General features: G+C 52.2%; 1 protein-coding gene across 7 annotated transcripts in view, besides 2 other annotated features; it reads left to right on the top strand.

The window, feature by feature from the left end:
• TGM2 (transglutaminase 2) overlaps nucleotides 1-21,351 on the top strand; it is a 41,091-nt gene that overhangs the window by 9,574 nt on the left and 10,166 nt on the right. For 5 of the 7 annotated variants that reach the window (XM_047440443.1, NM_001323316.2, XM_011529028.2 and 2 more), the window contains 8 exons: nucleotides 2,813-3,055; nucleotides 7,845-7,963; nucleotides 10,813-10,941; nucleotides 12,008-12,185; nucleotides 16,703-16,838; nucleotides 17,517-17,620; nucleotides 19,248-19,490; nucleotides 20,517-20,789. In XM_047440443.1, coding sequence (XP_047296399.1) covers nucleotides 2,813-3,055; nucleotides 7,845-7,963; nucleotides 10,813-10,941; nucleotides 12,008-12,185; nucleotides 16,703-16,838; nucleotides 17,517-17,620; nucleotides 19,248-19,490; nucleotides 20,517-20,789 — 1,425 coding nt within the window. Of the gene's footprint in view, nucleotides 1-2,812; nucleotides 3,056-7,844; nucleotides 7,964-10,812; nucleotides 10,942-12,007; nucleotides 12,186-16,702; nucleotides 16,839-17,516; nucleotides 17,621-19,247; nucleotides 19,491-20,516; nucleotides 20,960-21,351 lie in introns of those variants that run through there. The other 2 variants (NM_198951.3, NM_001323317.2) reach the window with 2 other exon arrangements.
• Nucleotides 15,329-15,997: an enhancer, noted in NCBI's record as "H3K4me1 hESC enhancer chr20:36771307-36771975 (GRCh37/hg19 assembly coordinates)". NCBI's record gives its function as "activates a minimal SCP1, AML or CMV promoter by ChIP-STARR-seq in naive H9 embryonic stem cells {active_cell/tissue: H9 hESC(naive)}" and the evidence as "EXISTENCE:reporter gene assay evidence [ECO:0000049][PMID:30033119]".
• Nucleotides 15,998-16,667: an enhancer, noted in NCBI's record as "H3K4me1 hESC enhancer chr20:36770637-36771306 (GRCh37/hg19 assembly coordinates)". NCBI's record gives its function as "activates a minimal SCP1, AML or CMV promoter by ChIP-STARR-seq in naive H9 embryonic stem cells {active_cell/tissue: H9 hESC(naive)}" and the evidence as "EXISTENCE:reporter gene assay evidence [ECO:0000049][PMID:30033119]".

Here is a 21,351-nt window from a genome sequence, read left to right as displayed (position 1 = left end):
ACCAGGAAACCAGGCCCTCCCCCAACTCCAGGCCTGGCCTGGGTCAGCGCCCGGCTCAAGGCCTGGCCAGCTGACTCTGCTCCTGTGTGGGAACATTGTAGCTTGTGATGGGAAACTGAGGCCCAGAGAAGCAGGAGAGCTGGCTAAGGTCACTCAGCGAATGGAGCATGTGGCCTGACCCCACACATTCTTAGATGTTGTGTGTTTTCACCCAGACAGTTTGAGACCCGACAGACTCCGTTATGGGGTCCAGGCCACACTAGACAAATGCCATCCTTGTCAGAGGGATAAAGTTCCCTCCAAGGTGGGGTCGGGGTTTGAGGGGGTGTGGCAGTCACAATGGGAGTGAAGTCAGCCTGGAGGAGTGAAGGGAACCCTTATGAGGCTGATAGAAGGCTTTACTCTGGAAGGTCCTGCCCACCCACCCCATCCCAGCCCGGCCACCATGGTCTGGGATAGTGGCCAGGACCCCCAGGCTCCCTGTGGTCATTTGGGCCCAGAGTGGCCCTCATGGTGCCTCTGGTCTCACAAAGAGGATGGTGTAGAACCGCAGCCAAGGAATTTGTGAAGTCAGCTTACGTGAGCAGCGGGTGGACCGTGGGACAGCCTGTCCTTCTCCTGTTCCCCCAGGATCTGGGAAGAAAGGGGTGTGTGAGTGTGTGTGCATGGCTGCCCCAAGATAGAGAGAAAGGGAAATGCGTTTCCTGACTTGTCCCCAAGGGTGACATGTCAACAGCGACAGTGATGATGGGATCTGGCCCAGGCCTGTTGCCACAGAGACCAGATCATTGATCCTCCGAGCAGGGACATTTCTGAGATTGGAAAGAGCACCCTTAAGAATTATGATGGGACCACAGGCGTAAACTGAGGCTGTCCTGAGCAAACTGTGATGCTTGGTCACCCCAGCACCACCCCTCTCAACCTCAGTTTCCAAATCTGTGAAGTTCTTCAATCGAACTAGACAATTTCTACATTCCACTCCAGTCCTCACGATCTGCTATTTGGCCTGAGAATTCAGACTTTTAATGGCCCCTTTTAATAACACTGACGATAGCTCACATTTCCTGCATGATTACTGTGAGCTGGTCACTGTTCAAAATGCTTTCTATGAACTCTCTCACGGAACCCTCTAAACAGAGCCAGGAGGCGTTCATGAAAACTGAACAAGACTAACTATTGTTTCCTGAGCACTTACTATACACCAGGTGCCTTGTGGGATGCTTTGTATGCCTGTCCTCTTTAAGCTTCACAACAACCTTATAGGGAGGTACTGCTACTGGCCTCATTTTACAGATGAGAAAACTGTGGCATAGAGAAGCTAAGTAACTTGTCGAAGTTCAGAGAGCCAGTTTCGAACCTGAGATTGGACTCTCCCAGGCATGTGGCCTAAGCCTGTTTTCTTCTTGGATAAGAAAGCAGATCAGAGAGGCCTGGTGATGTGGCCCAGGTCACACAGTGCTCAGGGGCAGAGTCAGGGAGCCAGACGTAGGGTGGGTCTGGGACCCCAGGCCTGCATGGCTCCTCCCCAAATGCCAGCTCTGGAAGTCAGGGAGCATTCAAAGGCTTCCAGTCGGCCCCTGGCACTTGGACAGGGCCTGAGAGGCCTGTGTCATGCCTGTTAGTTCATGGTTACATTTGAGCTGGGTGTGGGTGGGGCTGGCTGGCAGGGAGGAGGGGGCTGGGGGCTGGGAGGGAGCCCCTGGGTGAGCAGGCCCCAATAATGTCCACGGTGGGTGGGCAGAGCTGCAAGGAGGGAGATGGAAGAATAAAAATAAACTTTCCTGGGCACCCGCCCAGCCAGGCAGAGAACGTCCTCTGTCTTCTCTCCACCACCCATGTCCAGAAAGTGACCAGCCCCTCCTCGCCCTGCCCATGACTCAGACCTGCCTGTGGGGGCGGGCCCTCCCCTCCACCTGGAAAAGCAGCTGCTTTGAGAGTGTGCCCATCACTGTGCCTTTGAGAACCCGGCTGGGGAGTGTCCTCTTTGGGAAGAAGAGGCACCGTAGAAGACAACTGAGAGCTAAAGACCCACTTCAGATGCGACCTTTGCCACAAACTCCTAGGATATCCTTGGGAGACCGCTTTGCTCTGAGCCTCAGTTTTCTCACCTGGGCAAGGGGTCTCAAAGGAAGCAGGTGCTTCATGAAGTGTAAAAGGCTGTAGGAAGGTGAGGGGTCGTTATGACCAGCATCTCGGAACTGCCTATGGAGATGTGGGGGACAGCAGATGGGGGGCCTGGGGAGACAGACACCTTGAGGCTGTGTGGGCCAGCCAGCATCCTCCGCTGGCCTACAGCAAGGGGCTCTCAGAGGACCGAGGTCCCTTCCTGCTCAGCGTCTGGGCTTCCTTCTCTGAGAGAAAAAGCGGGACGCTAGCAGGTAGAGGATGTAGGCAGGAAAGGAGGGCCCTAGGGCATGTTGCCTAATCCTTGTCTATGCTACACAAATGGGGCCAGGTGATCCCAGAGAGAGGGATGGGCTTGTCCCGAGTCACATCATTGCAGAGCAGTGGAACTGAGCCTTGGCTCTGGGCCACATGGCCCCTCTCTCAGGAGGACTCTTTAGTTGAGGACATGCTGTATGCCTGTGGCTTTTTATGCATTCCCACAAAACCACCCTAAAAGGCTGGGGTTCTGAGCCCCCCTTTACAGATGAGGAAACTGAGGCTCAGGGAGACAAACTTCTTGCCAAACTTATTTCAGTGGTTAGTGGCAGAACTAGGCCTGGAGCCCAAGCTGGGGGACCCCACGTAGGTGCCCTGCCCTGCCAGCCCTGCTACCCCTAGCTCACGGCTACTGCTTCTCCCTCCACAGGCCCAGCCCCTAGCCAGGAGGCCGGGACCAAGGCCCGTTTTCCACTAAGAGATGCTGTGGAGGAGGGTGACTGGACAGCCACCGTGGTGGACCAGCAAGACTGCACCCTCTCGCTGCAGCTCACCACCCCGGCCAACGCCCCCATCGGCCTGTATCGCCTCAGCCTGGAGGCCTCCACTGGCTACCAGGGATCCAGCTTTGTGCTGGGCCACTTCATTTTGCTCTTCAACGCCTGGTGCCCAGGTGAGCCACACGCCATCCACTCACAGCGTTGGGGTGGGCAGGGCTGGATCCGCCCATGGAGGAGGCTACTGGAGGTGAGAAGAACAGGGGATAAGAGACACACATCAAAGTGGACTGAGTGAGGCCCACTGTGCTCCAGCCTCACAAAACCCTCAAGACATGAGTACTCCTGTTATCCCTGTTTATAGAAACAAAATGAGGCCGGGCTCAGTGATCCATGCCTGTAATCTCGGTTCTTTGGGAGGCTGAGGAGGGAGAATCACTTGAGCGAGCCAGGAGTTAAAGACCAGCCTGGGCAACAGAGCAAGACCCTGTCTCTACAAAAAAAAATTTTAACAGTAGCTGGGTGTGGTAGTGCACGCCTGTGGTCCCAGCTAATTGGGAGGTTGAGGTGGGAGGATCACTTGTGTCCAGGAAGTCGAGGCTGCAGTGAGCTATGATTATACCACTGCACTCCAGGCTGGTTATCAGGGTGAGACCCTGTCTCTAAAAAAATAAAAATAAAAAGAAGCAGAATGATATGCCCAATTCCACATATTTACCAAGGGACTTCACTCGCTGTTTGAGGCCTGTATATTCCCAGACCACTATGAACTGGGGCTTAGCGGTGACTTGGTTTCAAAAGCCCCACATCAGGAATAGGGTGCCCAGCTGATGCCTAGGCCCAGGCACTGTGTCCTGGTTCTGTTTCATGGGGCCCTGTTTTTTGTGTGTTTTTTGTTTTGTTTTGTTTTGTTTTTGAGACGGAGTTTTGCTCTTGTTGCCTGGGCTGGAGTGCAATGGTACAATCTCAGCTCACTGCAACCTCTGCCCACCAGGTTCAAGCAATCCTCCTGCCTCAGCCTCCCCAGTAGCTGGGATTACAGGCATGTGCCACCACGCCTGGCTAATTTTTGTATTTTTAGTAGAAACGGAGTTTCACCACATTGGCCAGGCTGGTCCCGAGCTACCGTCCTCAGGTGATCCACCCGCCTCGGCCTGCCAAAGTGCTGGGATTACAGGCGTGAGCCACCGTGCCCGGCTGAGGTGGGAGGCCCTGTTTTAAATCTCACCCAGACTGGTTTGGGGAAGGGAAACCCGGAGGTGAGGTTGGGGGGAGGGCTGGGGGAGGGGGGTGAGTAGGAGCAGTTAGACCGTCCAGCTGCCTCCTTATACACTATCTCAGTCGGGCCTCTCAACAATCCCAAGGGGGAGATGACACTTCCCCACTTCACACACAGGAAACTGAGGCTCAGAGTGGTGAAGTGGCCTTTGGAATCTCTTTGAATAAATAAGTGGACAACCTTGGACAAAACTAGAAAGTCAGAGGGGAGAGCTTGGAACAAAGGAAACTGACTTGAGCAAGGGGGAGGAGGCAGGGGTTGCCAGTCACCTCCCCAGGCCTCGATTTTCCCATCTAACTAGCAAGGCAGTCAGATCTAATGATCTGTTTCCTTCCTATTCTAATGAAACAAAGCAGGGAAAGAAGCATCATGGGCCAGGCCCCTCCTGGGAATCGGGTGTCCCTCTTCAAAAGGGCAGAAATTCTGGCCTCCTGGCTGTTAGACAACCACCTTCTTGCTGGCCCACTGCTTTATCTTTTTTCTTCTCTATTTTGAGGCATTTTATATTTGAGCAGAAAGCTTTTAAAATTTTTCACCTTTCCATATTTTGATTTTTATTTCCCAGTATAACAGTAAACCATGACAGCATTCTCTTTAGAAAAGCTTCAAGCCCAGGTGCAGTGTAATCCCACACCTGTAATCCCACACCTGTAATCCCGGCACTTTGAGAGGCTGAGGCAGGGGGATCACTTGAGGCAGGAGTTCAAGACCAGCCTGGCCAACATGGCGAAACCCACCGTCTCTATAAAAAATACAAAAATTAGACCGATGTGATGACACACATCTGTAGTCCCAACTACTCAGGAGGTTAAGGTGGGAGGATCGCTTGAGTCCAGGAGGTTGAGGCTGCAGTTAGCTGGGATTGTGCCACTGCACTCCAGCCTGGGTGACAGAGCAAGACTCTGTCTCCAAAAAAGGGGAGAGAAGGGGAGGGCTTCAAGACTACAGAGAAATGGCCTCCCCCTTTGACCCCTCCTCCTTGGGGGACACCATTGTTAGATATTTTGCGGGGGCTCACCTCCTTAGGTCAGTCTGTATGTGCCTGGAGAAATTGCTGTATTTTATAGGTCTCTGTCTCTCTATCACAAACATAAAAGGATCCCACTGTATACATTAACCTACAACTTGGTTTTTTCCCCTCACAATACACCGTGAGGCTCTGTCCACATTGGTCTGCATACATCTGCTCATTCATTCTTTTTTTTTTTTTCTTTTTTTTGAGACCAAGGCTCTCTCTGTCACCCAGGCTGGAGTGCAGTGGTGCAATCTCGCCTCACTCCAACCTCTGCCTCCCGGGTTGAAATGATTCTCATGCCTCAGCCTCCCGAGTACCTGGGATTACAGGCATGCACCACCACGCCGGGCTAATTTTTGTATTTTTAGTAGAGACAGAGTTTCACCATGTTGGCCAGGCTGGTCTCAAACTCCTGATCTCAGGTGATCCGCCCACCTCGGCCTCCCAAAGTGCTAGGATTACAGGCGTGAGCCACCACGCCCGGCCACATCTGCTCATTCTTTCTAAGGGCGTTGAGTGTCCTGTTTCTTGCCCATGTGGATGGTCCAGCCCCCACTGATGGACATGAGGTTGTGCCTGGAGGCTCATGGCACGCAGGGACCATGCGTCAACGAGCACCCTTGCTTCATACCCTGTGGCCAATGGAATGATTTCTCGGGACAGAAGTGGCCTTACTGGATCCCCCCCCCCGCCCCATAGGTTTGTTTTGAATTTTAGTCAATCTGCAGAGGGTAGCAACTAGTTGGCAGCTCTGCCAACAGGACAGGAACACGCCGGTGTCCCCACCCTCGTCCACACCACAAGGTTTCAGAGTTCAGGGAATGGGAAGCGTGGTTCTGGGGGATGGCCCCCTTCCTCCTGCTTGGCCTCACCCGGCGGCGGGTTGGAGTGGCGGTCAGCCAAGCGGCACAGTGACTAAAGTGACCCACATCCCGGGGCGGGAACTGTGGAGCTGGTGATGCAGAGGCAGGAAGTTGGGCTGGGGTGAGCGCAGGGGCGCTGCGGGAGGAAATCAGTCTGATGGGTGGGAAAGGGCCGGGTCTGCCTGGAAAATGGGACCCTCCTGTATGTCAGTTCCAAGACCAATATGATCGAGTGCCAGTTATATGCAAGGCTTCACGTCCCCAGTGCCCCCACCTTTACCAGATGGGGACCTGAGCTGGGGATGTCACAGTCTTGGCATCCTGAGCTGGGGTGGGGACAATTCAACAAGTGCTGACACTCATTCTAATGTTGAAACACTGTGGGTTCTTCTTTCTCTTTCATTCTTATCCCACACCCCCCGGCTGCTGCAGAGCCATTATAGTTCATTGACTTCAAGGTTAATTTTTATAGAAGTTTCCAGAGCCAAAGATCAGAATACACAAGAGACTTGGCCTCTTTCCCATTTTTCCTCACTACGATGAAAGTCAGGGCTGCTGGTTGCTGCAGACGGGCATGACAAAGCCCAGGGGTCTGAGGGGCCGGCAGCTGCTTCCTTCCCAGGCCAGCTTCTCCATTAGACCCGGCAGGCACTGTGCCTGGGGCCTGAGAAACTCTTAGGGGCCCGTGAACATGTTTTAATGTAATTTAAAATCAGGAGAAAAAAATGAACATTTAAGTTGAACAATAGGTTTTAATATGTAATATTGAGATAGCTGTAATTAACCAAGGCAGTCATAACATTCAATTACCTTTTTTCTAATGGAGGAAGGAATGCATGAAGTCAAGAGTGCCTGGGGCTCACCAAAGTCATAATGGGGCTCCAGATTGCCCCTTCTTGGCCTCAGTTTCTTCACCGGTTAAGTGGAGTCAGTAAAGCCAGCCTGACCTTTGGGCTCCTACCATCTTGCCCCAACTTCCTCAGCTCCTTCTTCTCCCCTCACTGGCCACAGACAACTAAATGCCCTGCATTTTCCAGCAGCCAAAGCTTTGTGCTTTCTGGTCCTCTGCTTAGAATGCTACCCTCCAGGTTCCAACTCTCTAAAACTTAATCATTTTTTAAGACAACATTCAGATGCCACCTCCTCCAGGGAGCCCTCTGTAACTCTCTCAAGCTGGACAGGACCCCACCTCTCCTGAGCTGCAGGAACCCTTTCTTGGCCTTCCCCTCTGCTACTGAGTTCTCTCTGCCTTGAATCATGCGCCTCCCTCACGCTACCTCAGGGCTTTCGTTTCCAAAGCACCTTTCAGATCTGCATTTTGGGCTGACACAGTGAGGTGTTAAGGTGGGCAGAGAAGGCAAAGTAGCCTACCCAGGGTCACACAGCAAGTGAGAATCAGGAGTTTCCTGACTCCCGGTCCAGTGCTCCTGTGTCCTTAGTCTCAGTTTTCCTAGCTATAAAATATTCCTGAGCCTTAGTTTTCTGGTCTTTAAAATGGGGCTTTCAAGGATCCCTTCCTCATAAGGCTCTTCTGGAGATTAAATTTATTAATACAGGTCATACATTTATCACAGGTCCTGGCACACAGTGAGTGTTGAAGAAATGGCAGCCTTTGTTGTCACTAACCGATAACACCTTATCTCATTGACGTGGGATTATTCATTAATGGTTACTTTTTCTAATTAAAAGAAGGATGGATCCCTGAGACGCTGGCTTGGCCTAGGGAATTGGCACCCTTGACTCCAGATTTGCAGGGACCCTGGGCCTCCGCAGACCCAGAGCTGAGGTCCCTTTCTTCCTGCCTGCAGCGGATGCTGTGTACCTGGACTCGGAAGAGGAGCGGCAGGAGTATGTCCTCACCCAGCAGGGCTTTATCTACCAGGGCTCGGCCAAGTTCATCAAGAACATACCTTGGAATTTTGGGCAGGTAAGGGCCACACCCTGTCTCTCCCAACCATCTCAGGCCCTTCTGTGTGCCCGGCCCTGTGTCTGGGGGCAGCCAAAGCTGCACAGGTGGGAGTGAGTCACAGAGTCACCCACTTCATGCTGTCAGGGATGCAAAGGCCCTGAAACAGCTGAAGGTTCAGAGAGGGCCAAGGCTGCCCTGAGGTCACACAGCAAAGGCGGCAGCCTTGGATTCAAGGTGGAGAAAGAACTAGGAGAGCCTTTGGGAACTGTGAAGCTGGTTGGTATCCTGGGAGGGGGAAGAGGGAACAGTAAAGCTCATGTATTGAAACAATAGGCAGTACTTGGAGTTGTGCTGGGGTGAGCCCTGTGTGCTAGGCATGTGCTAAGAAGAGGCTTTAAACCCTCACCCAGATCAGTGGTTCTCAGGATCACTGAGAGTCTTAAAACACTAGGGGTTGAGAATTTGCTCTTCAAACAAGTTCCCAGGTGATGCTGATGCTGCTTGTCTAATAACCATACTTTGGGAACTGCTGATCTGGTTGTATCTGCTAGCTGCTGCTGCATAACAAGCCTGAAATTTAGGGGCTAAAAACAACAATCACTTATTATTTCTCACAAGTCTGTGGGTCAGCCATGCATGGCTGTCTAGGCTGGGCTTGGCTGGAGTCAGTAAAGCCAGCCTGACCTTTAGGCTCCTACCATCTGGCTCAGCCAATGGCTCATCTGTTTCACGTGGTTTCTCACTCCCCAGTGGGCCAGCCTGGGCTGGTTCTCTAAACTGGTGATGATAAATTTCATTTATCATCCAGCCACCTGTACAAATTCTTGAGACTCTGCTGGGAAAACTCACAAAGCAAGAACCATTGCACCCCTGGCCCCTCAACCTCCTGGTGTGTTAGGAGGTATTGGCCTCCTGGGGTGGGGTTCACCCTGAGGCTTCCCCCAGCAGCCTCTGGGTCAGGTTTCAATGTTCAATGACCCTCTAGGGAGGGTCCTACCCTGAAACCATAGGGAAATCTTCCCTGTATGATCTCAGGCTTTGACCAAAGTTTTCTCATCTGAATATCATGATGATAATTGCAAAACTAACTGCTCAGCAACCCCGTAGCCTGCTGTGGGATATAAATGAAATGGTGGTATGACCGTGATGCATAAAATACATCAGAAAATGAATTGGCTCTGATTTTTCATGGCTTTTTATTCTCTCCTGAGAAGGAGAACAAAGTCAAGTTCTTCCTTTATTTCCCAGGGTCCTGTTTTTTTTTTTTTTTTTTTTTTTGAGGCGGAGTCTCGCTCTGTTGCCCAGGCTGGAGTGCAGTGGTGCAATCTCGGCTCACTACAAGATCTGCCTCCTGGGTTCACGCCATTCTCCTGCTTCAGCCTCCCGAGTAGCTGGGACTACAGACGCCCACCACCACACCCGGCTAATTTTTTGTATTTTTTTAGTAGAGACGGGGTTTCACCGTGTTAACCAGGATGGTCTCGATCTCCTGACCTCGTGATCCGCCTGCCTCAGCCTCCCAAAGTGCTGGGATTACAGGCGTGAGCCACCGCGCCCGGCCCACAGGGTCTTGTTTTGTATCCGGTCTTGTGCTGGGCTGTGGGACATGGCCTTTGCAAAGCTTCTGGAGGTGATCACAGTCCAGGAAGATGAGACCTAGAGGAAGGAAGGAATAACAGCCTATGGGGATCAGGGGGTACTTCTTGAAGTAGGGAATATTTGAGCTGGGCTTTGAAGAACAAATAGGAGTTTGCCATGCAAGGAGGTGTGTGCACGACATACTAGGCCAAGGGAACTATGCAAGTGAAAGCTCAGAGGTTGGAAAGTTTATGTCGTGCCTGAGAGGTATATTGTAGCTTGGGGCATACCTTGTGTGTGAAGGAGCCCCAAGAGATGAGGTGGGAGAAGCCAGCAGTGTCCAGTTTGTGGAACAGCCCTGAACATTAGGCCGATGGCAATAGGGAGCCACAGAGGGTTCACACCGTGGAAGGCTGTTGTGCAGCTTGGAGGGAGATCTGGCCCAGGAAAGGACCACAGAAGTGGGGGGAAAAGAGCAGACAGAAGGGCCCCTGGAGGTGGGTGGTCCAGTGGAAGGTGGCAAGAAGGGGTCCTGCTTTTGAGAAAGATGACATTTGAATGGCAAGGATGAGGAGGTGTGAGCCCTGCAGAGAGCAGCGGGAAGAGCATTCTGAGCAGAGAAATAGCACATGCAAGGGCCCTGGGGCAGTGAGCCTGGGCAGAGTGAGTGTGGGTGTGAGTGGTGAGAGATGAGGTCAAAAAGGGGATGGGAGCAGATCATGAAGGGCCTTGAAGTTTGCACGGTGAAGTCTAGGTTTTACTGTGGATACGGTTGAAACAGAAGAGTGATGGGACTGGATTTCTGTATTTAGAATCTGTCTCAGTTCCCATCAGAGCAGCGTGTGTGGGCTGGGTTGGAGGGGGACGAGGGGGCTGACATCAGCTCTGCAGGGTGGGTCACGCCTTGGGGAAGTGGGAGATTTGGCTGAGCAAGAGGAGAAAGGGACAGTGACAGGGCCCAAGGTGACTCTGAGGGGGAGCCCCAGGGACACCGGGCTGCCCACTCCATGGGCTCCTGCTCCAGATTTCCAGGTTCCCCCAACCAGGCCCTGGATGAAAATTGTTACCCTCTTCGTCACACACTCATGGCTCACCCAGTCATTGTCCCACTCCATTCCCTCCTGTGCCAAGAGAAGCTGCCACCAGAGAGATTTGGTAGACTCGGCCGGAGTGTCCCAGTCTGCTGTGTGGGACAGAGTGGGAAACAGCTGCTGGAGGCTTCAACGCAGGCTTCCTGGAGGAGGTGCCTTCCCAGCTCCCTCTTTCTCCTCTTGTTTCCTCTGACACAGTTTGAAGATGGGATCCTAGACATCTGCCTGATCCTTCTAGATGTCAACCCCAAGTTCCTGAAGAACGCCGGCCGTGACTGCTCCCGCCGCAGCAGCCCCGTCTACGTGGGCCGGGTGGTGAGTGGCATGGTGAGTGAGTGGCATGGCCCATCCAGGGGCGGGGCCTACAGGGGGCTCCCGCAGGCCTCTCCCTCGCAGTGGAGACACAGGCTAGGCGCGGTGGGGGACCCGGGAGATGGGTAAGTCTTGGGGAAAAGACCTTATATTGGAAAGATAAGATTTGCACAGATGAGGGTGATGCTATGGGGTCCCCCAGAGCAATTAATTTATTCATTTCTTCAGTAAATATTTATCAAGTACCACTTATGTCCTAAGCACTGGGGAGACAGCTGTGTGCAAGTCCTGTGTGATCTCTAGCTTTATGGAGACTGTGTTATAGAGGGGAGGGGAGGGGAGGGGAGACAGACACTAACCAAACTACCATATGAACGAGCAGGCAGTTCACATGGTTCATAAATGATGGTGCACGCTCTGAAGGAACCCGAGGTGTGAGAGCGTTGGACTGCAGGGCCAGGCTCAGGGAGGGGCTGAGGGGCTCCCTAAGGTGGTACCCAGGAGAAGGGCATTCCAGGCAGAGGGCACAGCTGTGCAAAGGCCCTGAGAAGGGAGCGACTTTGGCAGGTTTGAGGAAGGAAGAGAGGCCAGTGTGCCTGGAGTGGAGTGAGCAGGGCCCGTGGGTGCAGAGGAAGCTGCAGAGGTGGGCAGGGGTGAGACCAGAAGGGCCTCTTGGATCATGGTCAGGAGGCTGATTTTATTCTCGAGGTAATGGGAGTTTAGGGGGAACGACACAATCTGGGGTGGGGGGCCCAAGCGGGTCTTTGTAAAACTTAGATCACACCATGTCACTCCCGAGCAATCCTGTGTTCATAGGACAGAGTCACATCCCCAGTATCGCGTTCAAGTCCTTGACCCTGCCCCACCTCCTTCTTCCCCATCTCCCTCCTGTCCCCCGGCTCCAGCCCCCACCATCTGCCGCACACCAGTCTGTCACACGATGGCCCCTTTGCACCTGCTCTTTCCTCACCCTGGAGCTCCCCTCCCCAGCTTTCACCCCCTGCTGTACTCAGGCTCACCCAGGCGGCACAGCCGACACCCCATCCCAGGCTCAGTCCCCGTGCTGCCCCACTGGTTGCAGGTCAACTGCAACGATGACCAGGGTGTGCTGCTGGGACGCTGGGACAACAACTACGGGGACGGCGTCAGCCCCATGTCCTGGATCGGCAGCGTGGACATCCTGCGGCGCTGGAAGAACCACGGCTGCCAGCGCGTCAAGTATGGCCAGTGCTGGGTCTTCGCCGCCGTGGCCTGCACAGGTGAGCTGCACGCTGGGATGTGGGTCATGAGCCCTGGGAGGGGGCACGAAGAGCACTGGAGTAGGAATCAGGACATCCCTGCCCTGGTCCTGCCCCCTGCCACCAACACTCTCAATGCGCTATGTGGCCTAGAGCCTGTGACCACCCTCTCCGGTCCTTTATCCAATAGCCATCCCTCCAGTGGTTGTTAGGATCAAGGGCTATCATTGGAGAGACTGCATGGGCTCAGGGCTGAGAACTTGGGCACTGGAGCCCACGTTCTCAAAAACTCAGGATTTTTAACTTGAGTTAAAAACCCCCTCCCTCCCACCACTTGCTCTGTGACCTTGAGCAAATGACTTCTTTCTGAACCTCAGTTTCCTCGTCTGGAAAATGGGGACAACATCAAGACCTTCCTCCTAGAGTGGGTGTGACATGAAGCTACTCAGCACAGAACCTAGCCCAGTGTCACTCTCGGCAAATATTAGCCAGTAATAACTGGATCCTAACAGTAATATCAGTGTCAAGAAAGAAAGCATGTTCTAAAATGTAGAGGGGGAATATCGAGCAATTTAAAACCAAAAAAGTAAAATAAATCTAAAACAAAAATCTTCAAAATTTAAGGCCAGAAAATGTCGATGATTGTTGCCAGGCTGATGATGGTGCTTATGAGAATGGGTTAGCATCACATGCTGGCTAAGAACGTAGACTCAAGACATGAGGATTGCTTGAGGCCGGGAGTTTGAGACCAGCCTGGGCAATATAGTGAGACCTTGTCTCTACAAAAAAATAAAATAAAATAAAAATTAGCAGGCATGGTTGTGTGTCTGGAGTCTTGGCTACTCAGAAGGCTGAGGCAGGAAGATCGCTTGACCCCTGGAGGTTGGCTGCAATGAGCTATGATTGCACCATTGCACTCCAGCCTGGGCAACGGAGCAAGATCCTCTCTCAAAAAAAAAAAAAAAAAAAAAAAAAGAGAGAGAGCACAAATTCTGAAGTCAAGGCCTGGGTTCAAATCCTAGCTCTGCTTCTTACCAGCTGTGTGTCCTTAGGTAAATCACTTAACTCCTCTGAACCACAGTTCCATTGTATGTAAAATGGGCACAACGGTAGTACCTTTATACTGGGATGGTTGTGAGGATTAAATGAGTTAATATGTGTGAGGTAGCTGAGCGTGGTGGTGGTGCACCTGTAGTCTTAGCTGTTTGGGAGGCTGAGGCAGGGGGATCACTTGAGCCCAGGAGGTCGAGGCTGCGGTGAGTCATGATTGCACCACTGTACTCCAGCCTGGGTGACAGAGCGAGACCTCATCTCTAAATAAATAAATGAATGTGGGAAGTGCTTAAAATGATTTTGGGTGCATAATAGAAAATACTTATGTGATGATACTATTTATTGTCACGACTATTATTATTACCAGGCTCAATCTAAAAGGCTGGTCTGGGGCTTCCAGCTTTTCTGATTCCAAAACCAGTGCTAAGGCCCAGGAAAGGGTGCCTGGCAGGGCCCCCAGCACATCCTCCACACCAGCAGGCTGGGTCAGGGCAGCCTAACCTAGGTTCTCAGCTCGGCTGTCCTTGCCTTCTGACTCCTGCCTCTCTGCCTGGGACTGCCTGTTCCCCGTGACCTCTGAATTCCTTTTTCTTGTGGAAACTCCTTCATGCCAGACACTTCCCTCTGAGAGCCCTAAAACACCTCTTTTCAAAGAAGCCCATGGGTTTTCCTGGAAAAACCCCGAAATCCAAGACCTGGATCCCCAGGCTCACCGGCAGAAACCCTGGTCATCCTGGTCACCCTGGGCTGTGGCCGCCTGAAGATTGAGCAGCAGATCCTGCCCCTCAGCTGCCCACTGCAGGGCTGTGTTCTGGTCCCCGCAGCCTCTTCCCAGGCTGTGTAGGATGGAGCCAGGGAAAACTTGGCCAAGAAAAGGGCTGTCTGACCACTGTGGCCGTGGAGTTCACGTGGGGAGCCAATGGTGAATTGGCCCATGAACTCTGGAGCTGGACTGCCTGGGTTTGAATCCAGCTCTGCCACTAACCCCTGGGTGGACTTGGGCAAGAGAATTGATGCCTCCAAGCCTCAATTTCCTCATCTATAAAATGGAGACAATGGTGACTGATCTCATTCATAGGAAGCTCTTAATACCAGGGAGAGATCACTTAGCACAGTCTCTGGCTCCGGTTAGGCTTGGGTTTGGGGATTTCCAGGGGAGCCTGGCATTCCAGCTTTCTTAGCCGGATCCCTCACTGTACTTCCTCAATGTCCATGAATCAGCCAGCACTGATGGACGACGTTTGCCGTAACGGGCACCATGACACACTGTGCTGTTCCCGAGCACCCCCTCAATGCTTGCTCTGGGAATGGGCAGACAAGGCTGTGCCCACACCCGCGGCCTCTCTCTGAATCACCACAAATCCCCACAAGCTGCTATTATTAGCTTGTCTTACTGAGGAGGAAATGGAGGCTCAGAGAGGGGAGTGGCTTGCCCAAGGTCATACAGCTGGTGAGCAGCAGGGTCAGTCTCTGATCCAGGTGTGCACGGTGCTGGGGCAGCCTCCTGTTAGACTGATGAGGAGGCCTCCCGGGACACCACCCCTGGGGCAAGAGTGGCACTTGGCTCCCTGGAAAGCAGAGACAGACCTCCCCCGTCCTCCGGTCTGTCCTCAGGCCCACTGCATGGTGGGATAAGACCTGTGGTTAGGACACCAGCCTTCACTGAGGGCAGCCTTAGGGCTGAGCCCTGCCCAGGCCTCAGGGGGACAGAAACCAGGCAAGAGGGGGAGGTCATAGCTGTTCCTTCCTCCTTCCTCGAAGCTCCTACAAATCTCCTGGCAGGAATCCAGGGCCAACCAGTAAGCTCTTACCCTGGCCTATCGATGGTGGCCCCAGGGCAAAGGTCGCATCCCTTCTCCCCCACTCCCAAACTCAACTTCAATCAAAACTAAAAGTAAAACAAAAGTCCCACAGATTACCTTATTACGCCTAATCTTGTTTCTCTTCATTTTTTAGATATTTTTTTCTGGGAATCTGTTACTTTTACAATACACATAAAAAGCACATTTTTAAAATGAGAGAGTAAAAGCACCCATAATTCCGTCTGCCAGGAGCACCCAGTGGGCCGTGTGGGTGAGATCCACACCGGGATTTTCCTCCCTCCCCTGTGCTCCTCGCCTCTCTGAGCTGAGCTCAGCTTGCAGATGCCAGTCAATGTCCTGTTGCTGTTTAACCTGTCATTGCAACATCAGCCCCTTTCCCAGCAAACAGGGCGTTGGCAGGTATGCAGGGCCCTCCCTCCGGACAAGTCTGAGGACCCTGATCTGTGCTGCGACCTATTTATAGGGCCACGTGCATCCGTGTTCTTGTACATTGGGAATGATGATGAGTCCTCAGTGGCATCACTAATGCACAAAGAGATGGAACCAAGGCCCAGAGACATGAAGGGACTGGTCCCAGGTCACACAGCTGAAAGCAGCTGGGTCTCCCGACCTCTGTGCCCTCCTCTGCCTGTTCTGCTGTTTGAGTCTTTAAGTCCCTATCTTGGGGAGAGTCAGTCATTCAATCACTCCTTCCCTCCCTCCCTCTTTCCTCTCCTCTCTCCTTCCTCCACTCCTTCATCCCATTTGACAAAATAGTCAATGACAGGCCTGTGCTGGGCTCCAGGATCTAACATAAGACAGATCCCTCACTGGCCTTGGAGGACTAATTAAAGAATCCCTCACATGCCTGTACACTGGAAGGATGAAGGATCTCCAGCCGTGCTATGAATGCAAATGATGGGGCAACCTGAACCTGGCAGGCAGCCTTCCAGGCAGAGGGAATTGCAGACACCGATGCCTTGAAGCTGGCAGAGGCAGAGCATGCTGGAGGCCAGTGTGGAGGAGCACAGCGTGCGAGGAGGGGTTCAGGGGCCAGACCCTGCAGGGCCAAGGGCCATGGCCAGGGCACTGGCCTTGACCTCAAGGGCCATGGGGAACCAAGGACAATTGATCACAGGAGTGGTGACATCAGATTTGTACTTTATTTCATTTTGAGATGGAGTCTCACTCTGTCGCCCAGGCTGGAGTGCAGTGGTGCAATCTTGGCTCACCACAACCTCCGCCTCCCAGGTTCAAGCAATTCTCCTGCCTCAGCCTCCTCCTGAGTAGCTGGGATTACAGGCGTGCACCACCATGCCTGGCTAATTTTTGTATTTTTAGTAGAGACGGGGTTTCACCATATTGGCCAGGCTGGTCTCAAACTCTTGACCTCAGGCCCCCCTCGGCCTCTCAAAGTGCTGGGATTATAGGCGTGAGCCACCACGCCTGGCCGGGGTTTGTATTTTAGAGTCTCCTTCTGGCAACTGTGATGTGAGGGGCATAGAATGGACATGGGGTGACCAGAGAGGTGGGCGCCATTGTCCCGGCAGGAAGGGCTGGCTCATGTTCTCAGCACTTGGACAGCAGGTACAGTGTTCCCTGGAATGCAGATGGGCAGGTGGAGGCCCAGAGCAGGGCGGATGTCTCCAGGACCTCACCCCGCTTTCCACTCCTCTCCAACAGTGCTGAGGTGCCTGGGCATCCCTACCCGCGTCGTGACCAACTACAACTCGGCCCATGACCAGAACAGCAACCTTCTCATCGAGTACTTCCGCAATGAGTTTGGGGAGATCCAGGGTGACAAGAGCGAGATGATCTGGTGAGGTGGGGGCCAGGGTGGGATCGGAGCCCAGTAGGGAGGGCCCCATGGAGAGGAAACCTTGGAGGGCTTCTTGGAGGAGGTCACATTTGAATTGGGCCTTAAAAGTTCAGCAGTATTTGAGCAGGCTTGGGGAAGGCCTAGAGGGAAAGTCAACCACATACATGATGGGGCCTCAGGAAGAATCATGCTGCAAATGTTGTCGGGAGTCTGGAATGCCACATTAGGGGGCCCAGGCTTGATTCCAAAAGCAATAGGTTGTCACTCAAGGATTCAGAGTGGGAGAGGGCGGGGCTGACAACTGCCAGGAGGGCTAGAGGGGAAGAGATGGGCGGGGGGCTGGGGCGTGGTCCAGGTGGGGAGTGATAAGCCCTGAACGGACAGAAAAGAAGGGATGGAGCCAAGAAATTAGGAGGTCAAAGGGGCCACTGAGAGGGGCAAGGAGGGGAGAGGAGTTGAGAAGGGCTCTGAGGTGTAGGAGTGGGCGCCTTGGCTAGAGAGGGTGCTGTGAGATGGGCCCCCGTGGGGGGAAGAACAAGGCAGTGGGGAGACACCCTGGGCTCAGTTTGGGACGAGGCGAGCTTGCATCTGGGGACATGAATGCATGGTCTGCCCGTGGGAGGTGGCGATGAATGTTGCTCATGTTCTGCTTCATTCCCGCCCCCCTATCCCCCTCAGGAACTTCCACTGCTGGGTGGAGTCGTGGATGACCAGGCCGGACCTGCAGCCGGGGTACGAGGGCTGGCAGGCCCTGGACCCAACGCCCCAGGAGAAGAGCGAAGGTGCGTGGGCGGGCACTGTCGCGTCAAACAGATGGGGAAGACGAGGCTTGGAGAGTTAAAGTGACTCAGCTGGAGGGCGGCAGAACTAGGAGCTCACCCGGAGACCACTGATGGGTCCACAGAAGGGTGGGGGACCTCACTTACATCTTAATAACACACTTCTTGATAAATCTCAAAAATAATTCACGTGCATTGCGGAAAGCAGGAAATACAGAGAAGCTCAAAGAAAAAAATCAAATAGCATCTTTGTCTCCTCCCTCTAAAATAAGCAGCATTAACATTCACACGAGCTTCCACTGATTTCAAATCGTGTATTTGTATGCGGGTGTATATGTGTGTGTTTATATATGTATGTATATAAACACACATATATATATGTAGTACCTGTGTGTTTGAAAGAGAGAGTACACTAAGGCACAATTTTGTGATGCATATGGACACTTTCTAGGAATATTTTTAAATGTATAAAATATAATACATAGCGTTACAAAGAAAACCAATTACATTAAAATACAGTTGTCACAAGTTTTAAAAAATGAATTTATGATATAATAACATATGCTTCTTTATAGAACAAGATCTAGCGGTAGAGTCAGTAAGTTCCATAATATAGTTGTAGAGATAATTTATGAGCATAAATTAATTTCCTGCCATCTGGGACAGCTGTAAGGTTGTAATGACCACGCCTGTGGTTCTTATGAGTGACAAGTCCTAAGTGCTCCTCAGGCTGCTATGGTCATTTCCTGCTTTTGCAATTGAAGAAAGTGCTATGGTGAAAACAAAGATACCCTTTTTTCCCCATCATAGGGTTCATAGACCCCTGAATTCTGTTGGTAGTGCCTTGGGGGGATCCGTGGGCCCTGGTTTAAGACCTCCAGCGGCATGGAACATTTTTTCCCAGCTCTGTCCACTTCTGGATAAAGCATTGGCATTTCTCCAGCAGATAGTTTTCTGTGATTTGAATTTTTATTTAATGTGACCGTGGTCCATCACATGGATGTGCTAGACTGTATCTATCCAGCCTCTAGTCCTCAGCATTGGAAGTCTGCGGACAGTGTGGGGCGGTTATCAACCACACTTACGTAAACATCAGGCACCCGTATTCACTTGGAGAACACACACGCCCTGGGGCTGGCCCCATGCGGGGCACTGAGCTCCACTCTCAGTATGAGCAGGAAACGAGACAGATGTCCTCCTTGCTAACATGTTGCCTGTCCTTGGCTCCATAATTTCCTCAGGATGTCTGGGATACATTTCCATTTTATTTATCAAATACTTGCATAGCATTTAGTATAGGCTATGAGCTTTACATCTATAATTCAGGAATGCTCATTAGGTGGTCCAGATCTTATCTCCACATGAAACTGCCGCTTCGAGAAGTTAGTGACTGGCCCAAAGTCACCAGCTAATAACAGGCTGAGCTGGGATTTGAACCTTAAAAGTTGTGCTCCAGAGCCCCTATTCTGAACCCTTGCCCTGTGGTGCCCTCCTGGAAGTGGAGTCCTTCCGTCAGAGGGCCGCGTGGTCTTGAGGTTTTTGGCTACATGTGATTGAATTGTGGAGCGTTTTAGAGGACACCACCCAACCTTCACCCAGGCCCATCCCTTCCCCTTTCTACCTCTGCCAGGGACGTACTGCTGTGGCCCAGTTCCAGTTCGTGCCATCAAGGAGGGCGACCTGAGCACCAAGTACGATGCGCCCTTTGTCTTTGCGGAGGTCAATGCCGACGTGGTAGACTGGATCCAGCAGGACGATGGGTCTGTGCACAAATCCATCAACCGTTCCCTGATCGTTGGGCTGAAGATCAGCACTAAGAGCGTGGGCCGAGACGAGCGGGAGGATATCACCCACACCTACAAATACCCAGAGGGTATGTGCCCTCAGAGTCTTTAATGCAGCCTTGAAGATAAGCATCCAGTTTTCCCAGCCCGGCAGGCTCGTGTATGTGTGTGCGTGTGTTTTAATTGGTAGCCTACGTACAGCAATGGCCCCGTAGGCTATACTCCATCTTCAGCAATGCCTTAGAAACAGGAGCAAACATGTTGAGGGACAGTGGTAGAGGATTATTCATTTAGGGAAAGAGTTCTCTGCTACTGATGTTAAATCAGTTGCAGGGGAAAGGACTTGATTTATTTTTAAAAATTGGATTTGAGCACATCGAACAGCCAATTCAATATGGTATCTAATTTCTAAGCAAATACTAAGCATAGCAAAGCATACAGAGGGGACTAAGAAACCATAGTTCCTGCCTTGGCCTGACCCTCACTGACTTTCCAGGGTTGCCTGGCCATACTCTAGCTGAAAGGGATAACACAGAATGAAATGATGCTCTCCCCATCCCCTGAAAGGTCTAGAGCTGATAGTTTCATAGAATAAATAGATATGCACCCAACAACACTGGGAGAAAAAAATCAAAGGAGCACAGGAGAGAGGCAAATGGAATATAAGGAAGGGAGCAATCAGAGACAGGGAGGGAAAGGATTTTAGGTAGAAGTAATCCCTGTGTAATTGCTTGAAGGTAAGAAAGATTGCACTGTATTCGTGCCTAGTATGCACCAAGCACTGTTGTAGGCACTGGATAAGTAAAACACAGCCTTAGCCCTCGAGCAGCTCAAGAAGGTAAGTTTGAAACAGAAAACAACACAGGGGAAGGAGTGGTCAGAGAGGGCTTCCTGGAGGAGGGGTCATTTGGGGTTGAGTCTTGAGGGATGTATAGGAGTTCACTAGTGGAAAATTAATGAAATGCTGTGTCCTTCTGGCCCAGAAATGTAGAGAAGGGGCTCCTTCATGGCTGCCCTGAGTCATCAGGCCTCTGCGAAGACAGCTCGCCCTGTTGCAGCCCCCTTCCTGTGATCTATTCCAGCTGTGATTGAGGCTCTCTTCTCAACCCCTACAGGGTCCTCAGAGGAGAGGGAGGCCTTCACAAGGGCGAACCACCTGAACAAACTGGCCGAGAAGGAGGAGACAGGGATGGCCATGCGGATCCGTGTGGGCCAGAGCATGAACATGGGCAGTGACTTTGACGTCTTTGCCCACATCACCAACAACACCGCTGAGGAGTACGTCTGCCGCCTCCTGCTCTGTGCCCGCACCGTCAGCTACAATGGGATCTTGGGGCCCGAGTGTGGCACCAAGTACCTGCTCAACCTCAACCTGGAGCCTTTCTCTGGTAAAGCCCTGTGTTCCTGGAGCATTTGTTGACCGCCAACTGACAACATGCTAGGTAGTGACCTAACCACTTAGCATGTGTGATTTCACCCCACAGACACTTACATGGCGCTGACTCTGGGGCAGGCCCTGTCCTAAGCACTTTATAAATATCAACCCACTTAATTCTTATTGCAAGAGTGAGGGGGTGGATTCTAACATGGCTCCGTTTTCCAGATGAGTAGACTGAGGCACAGAGAGGTTAAGTAATTTTCTTAAGGTTGCACAGTTGGGGAGTTAACCTGTCCTCACAGCAGCTATACTGTTTGGTTTCACCTCATCTTCGTGTGACCCCTGACTGCTTTCACAGACCCTCTGCTGCCCTCTCCCAGTGAATTCCACTGTCTCCAGCCCCTCATGCCTCAGCAGCCTCTCTCCATGGGCCCTTCGAGAACCTCTCCTGTGCCTCTGGTTGCTCTCGGCCTCAAAGAAAAGTCTCTAACCCAGCGCCTTGGAAAGTGCCTGTTGCACTTTCCACAGTGATGGAGACGTGCTGAGTCTGCACCGCCTATCCAGCATGGCTG

Source organism: Homo sapiens, chromosome 20 (genome assembly GCF_000001405.40).
Source record: "Homo sapiens chromosome 20, GRCh38.p14 Primary Assembly".
In the NCBI taxonomy this organism is placed as follows: domain Eukaryota; kingdom Metazoa; phylum Chordata; class Mammalia; order Primates; family Hominidae; genus Homo; species Homo sapiens.
The sequence above is the reverse complement of the archived record's forward strand: the minus strand, read 5'-3'. Positions and strand labels throughout refer to the sequence as shown.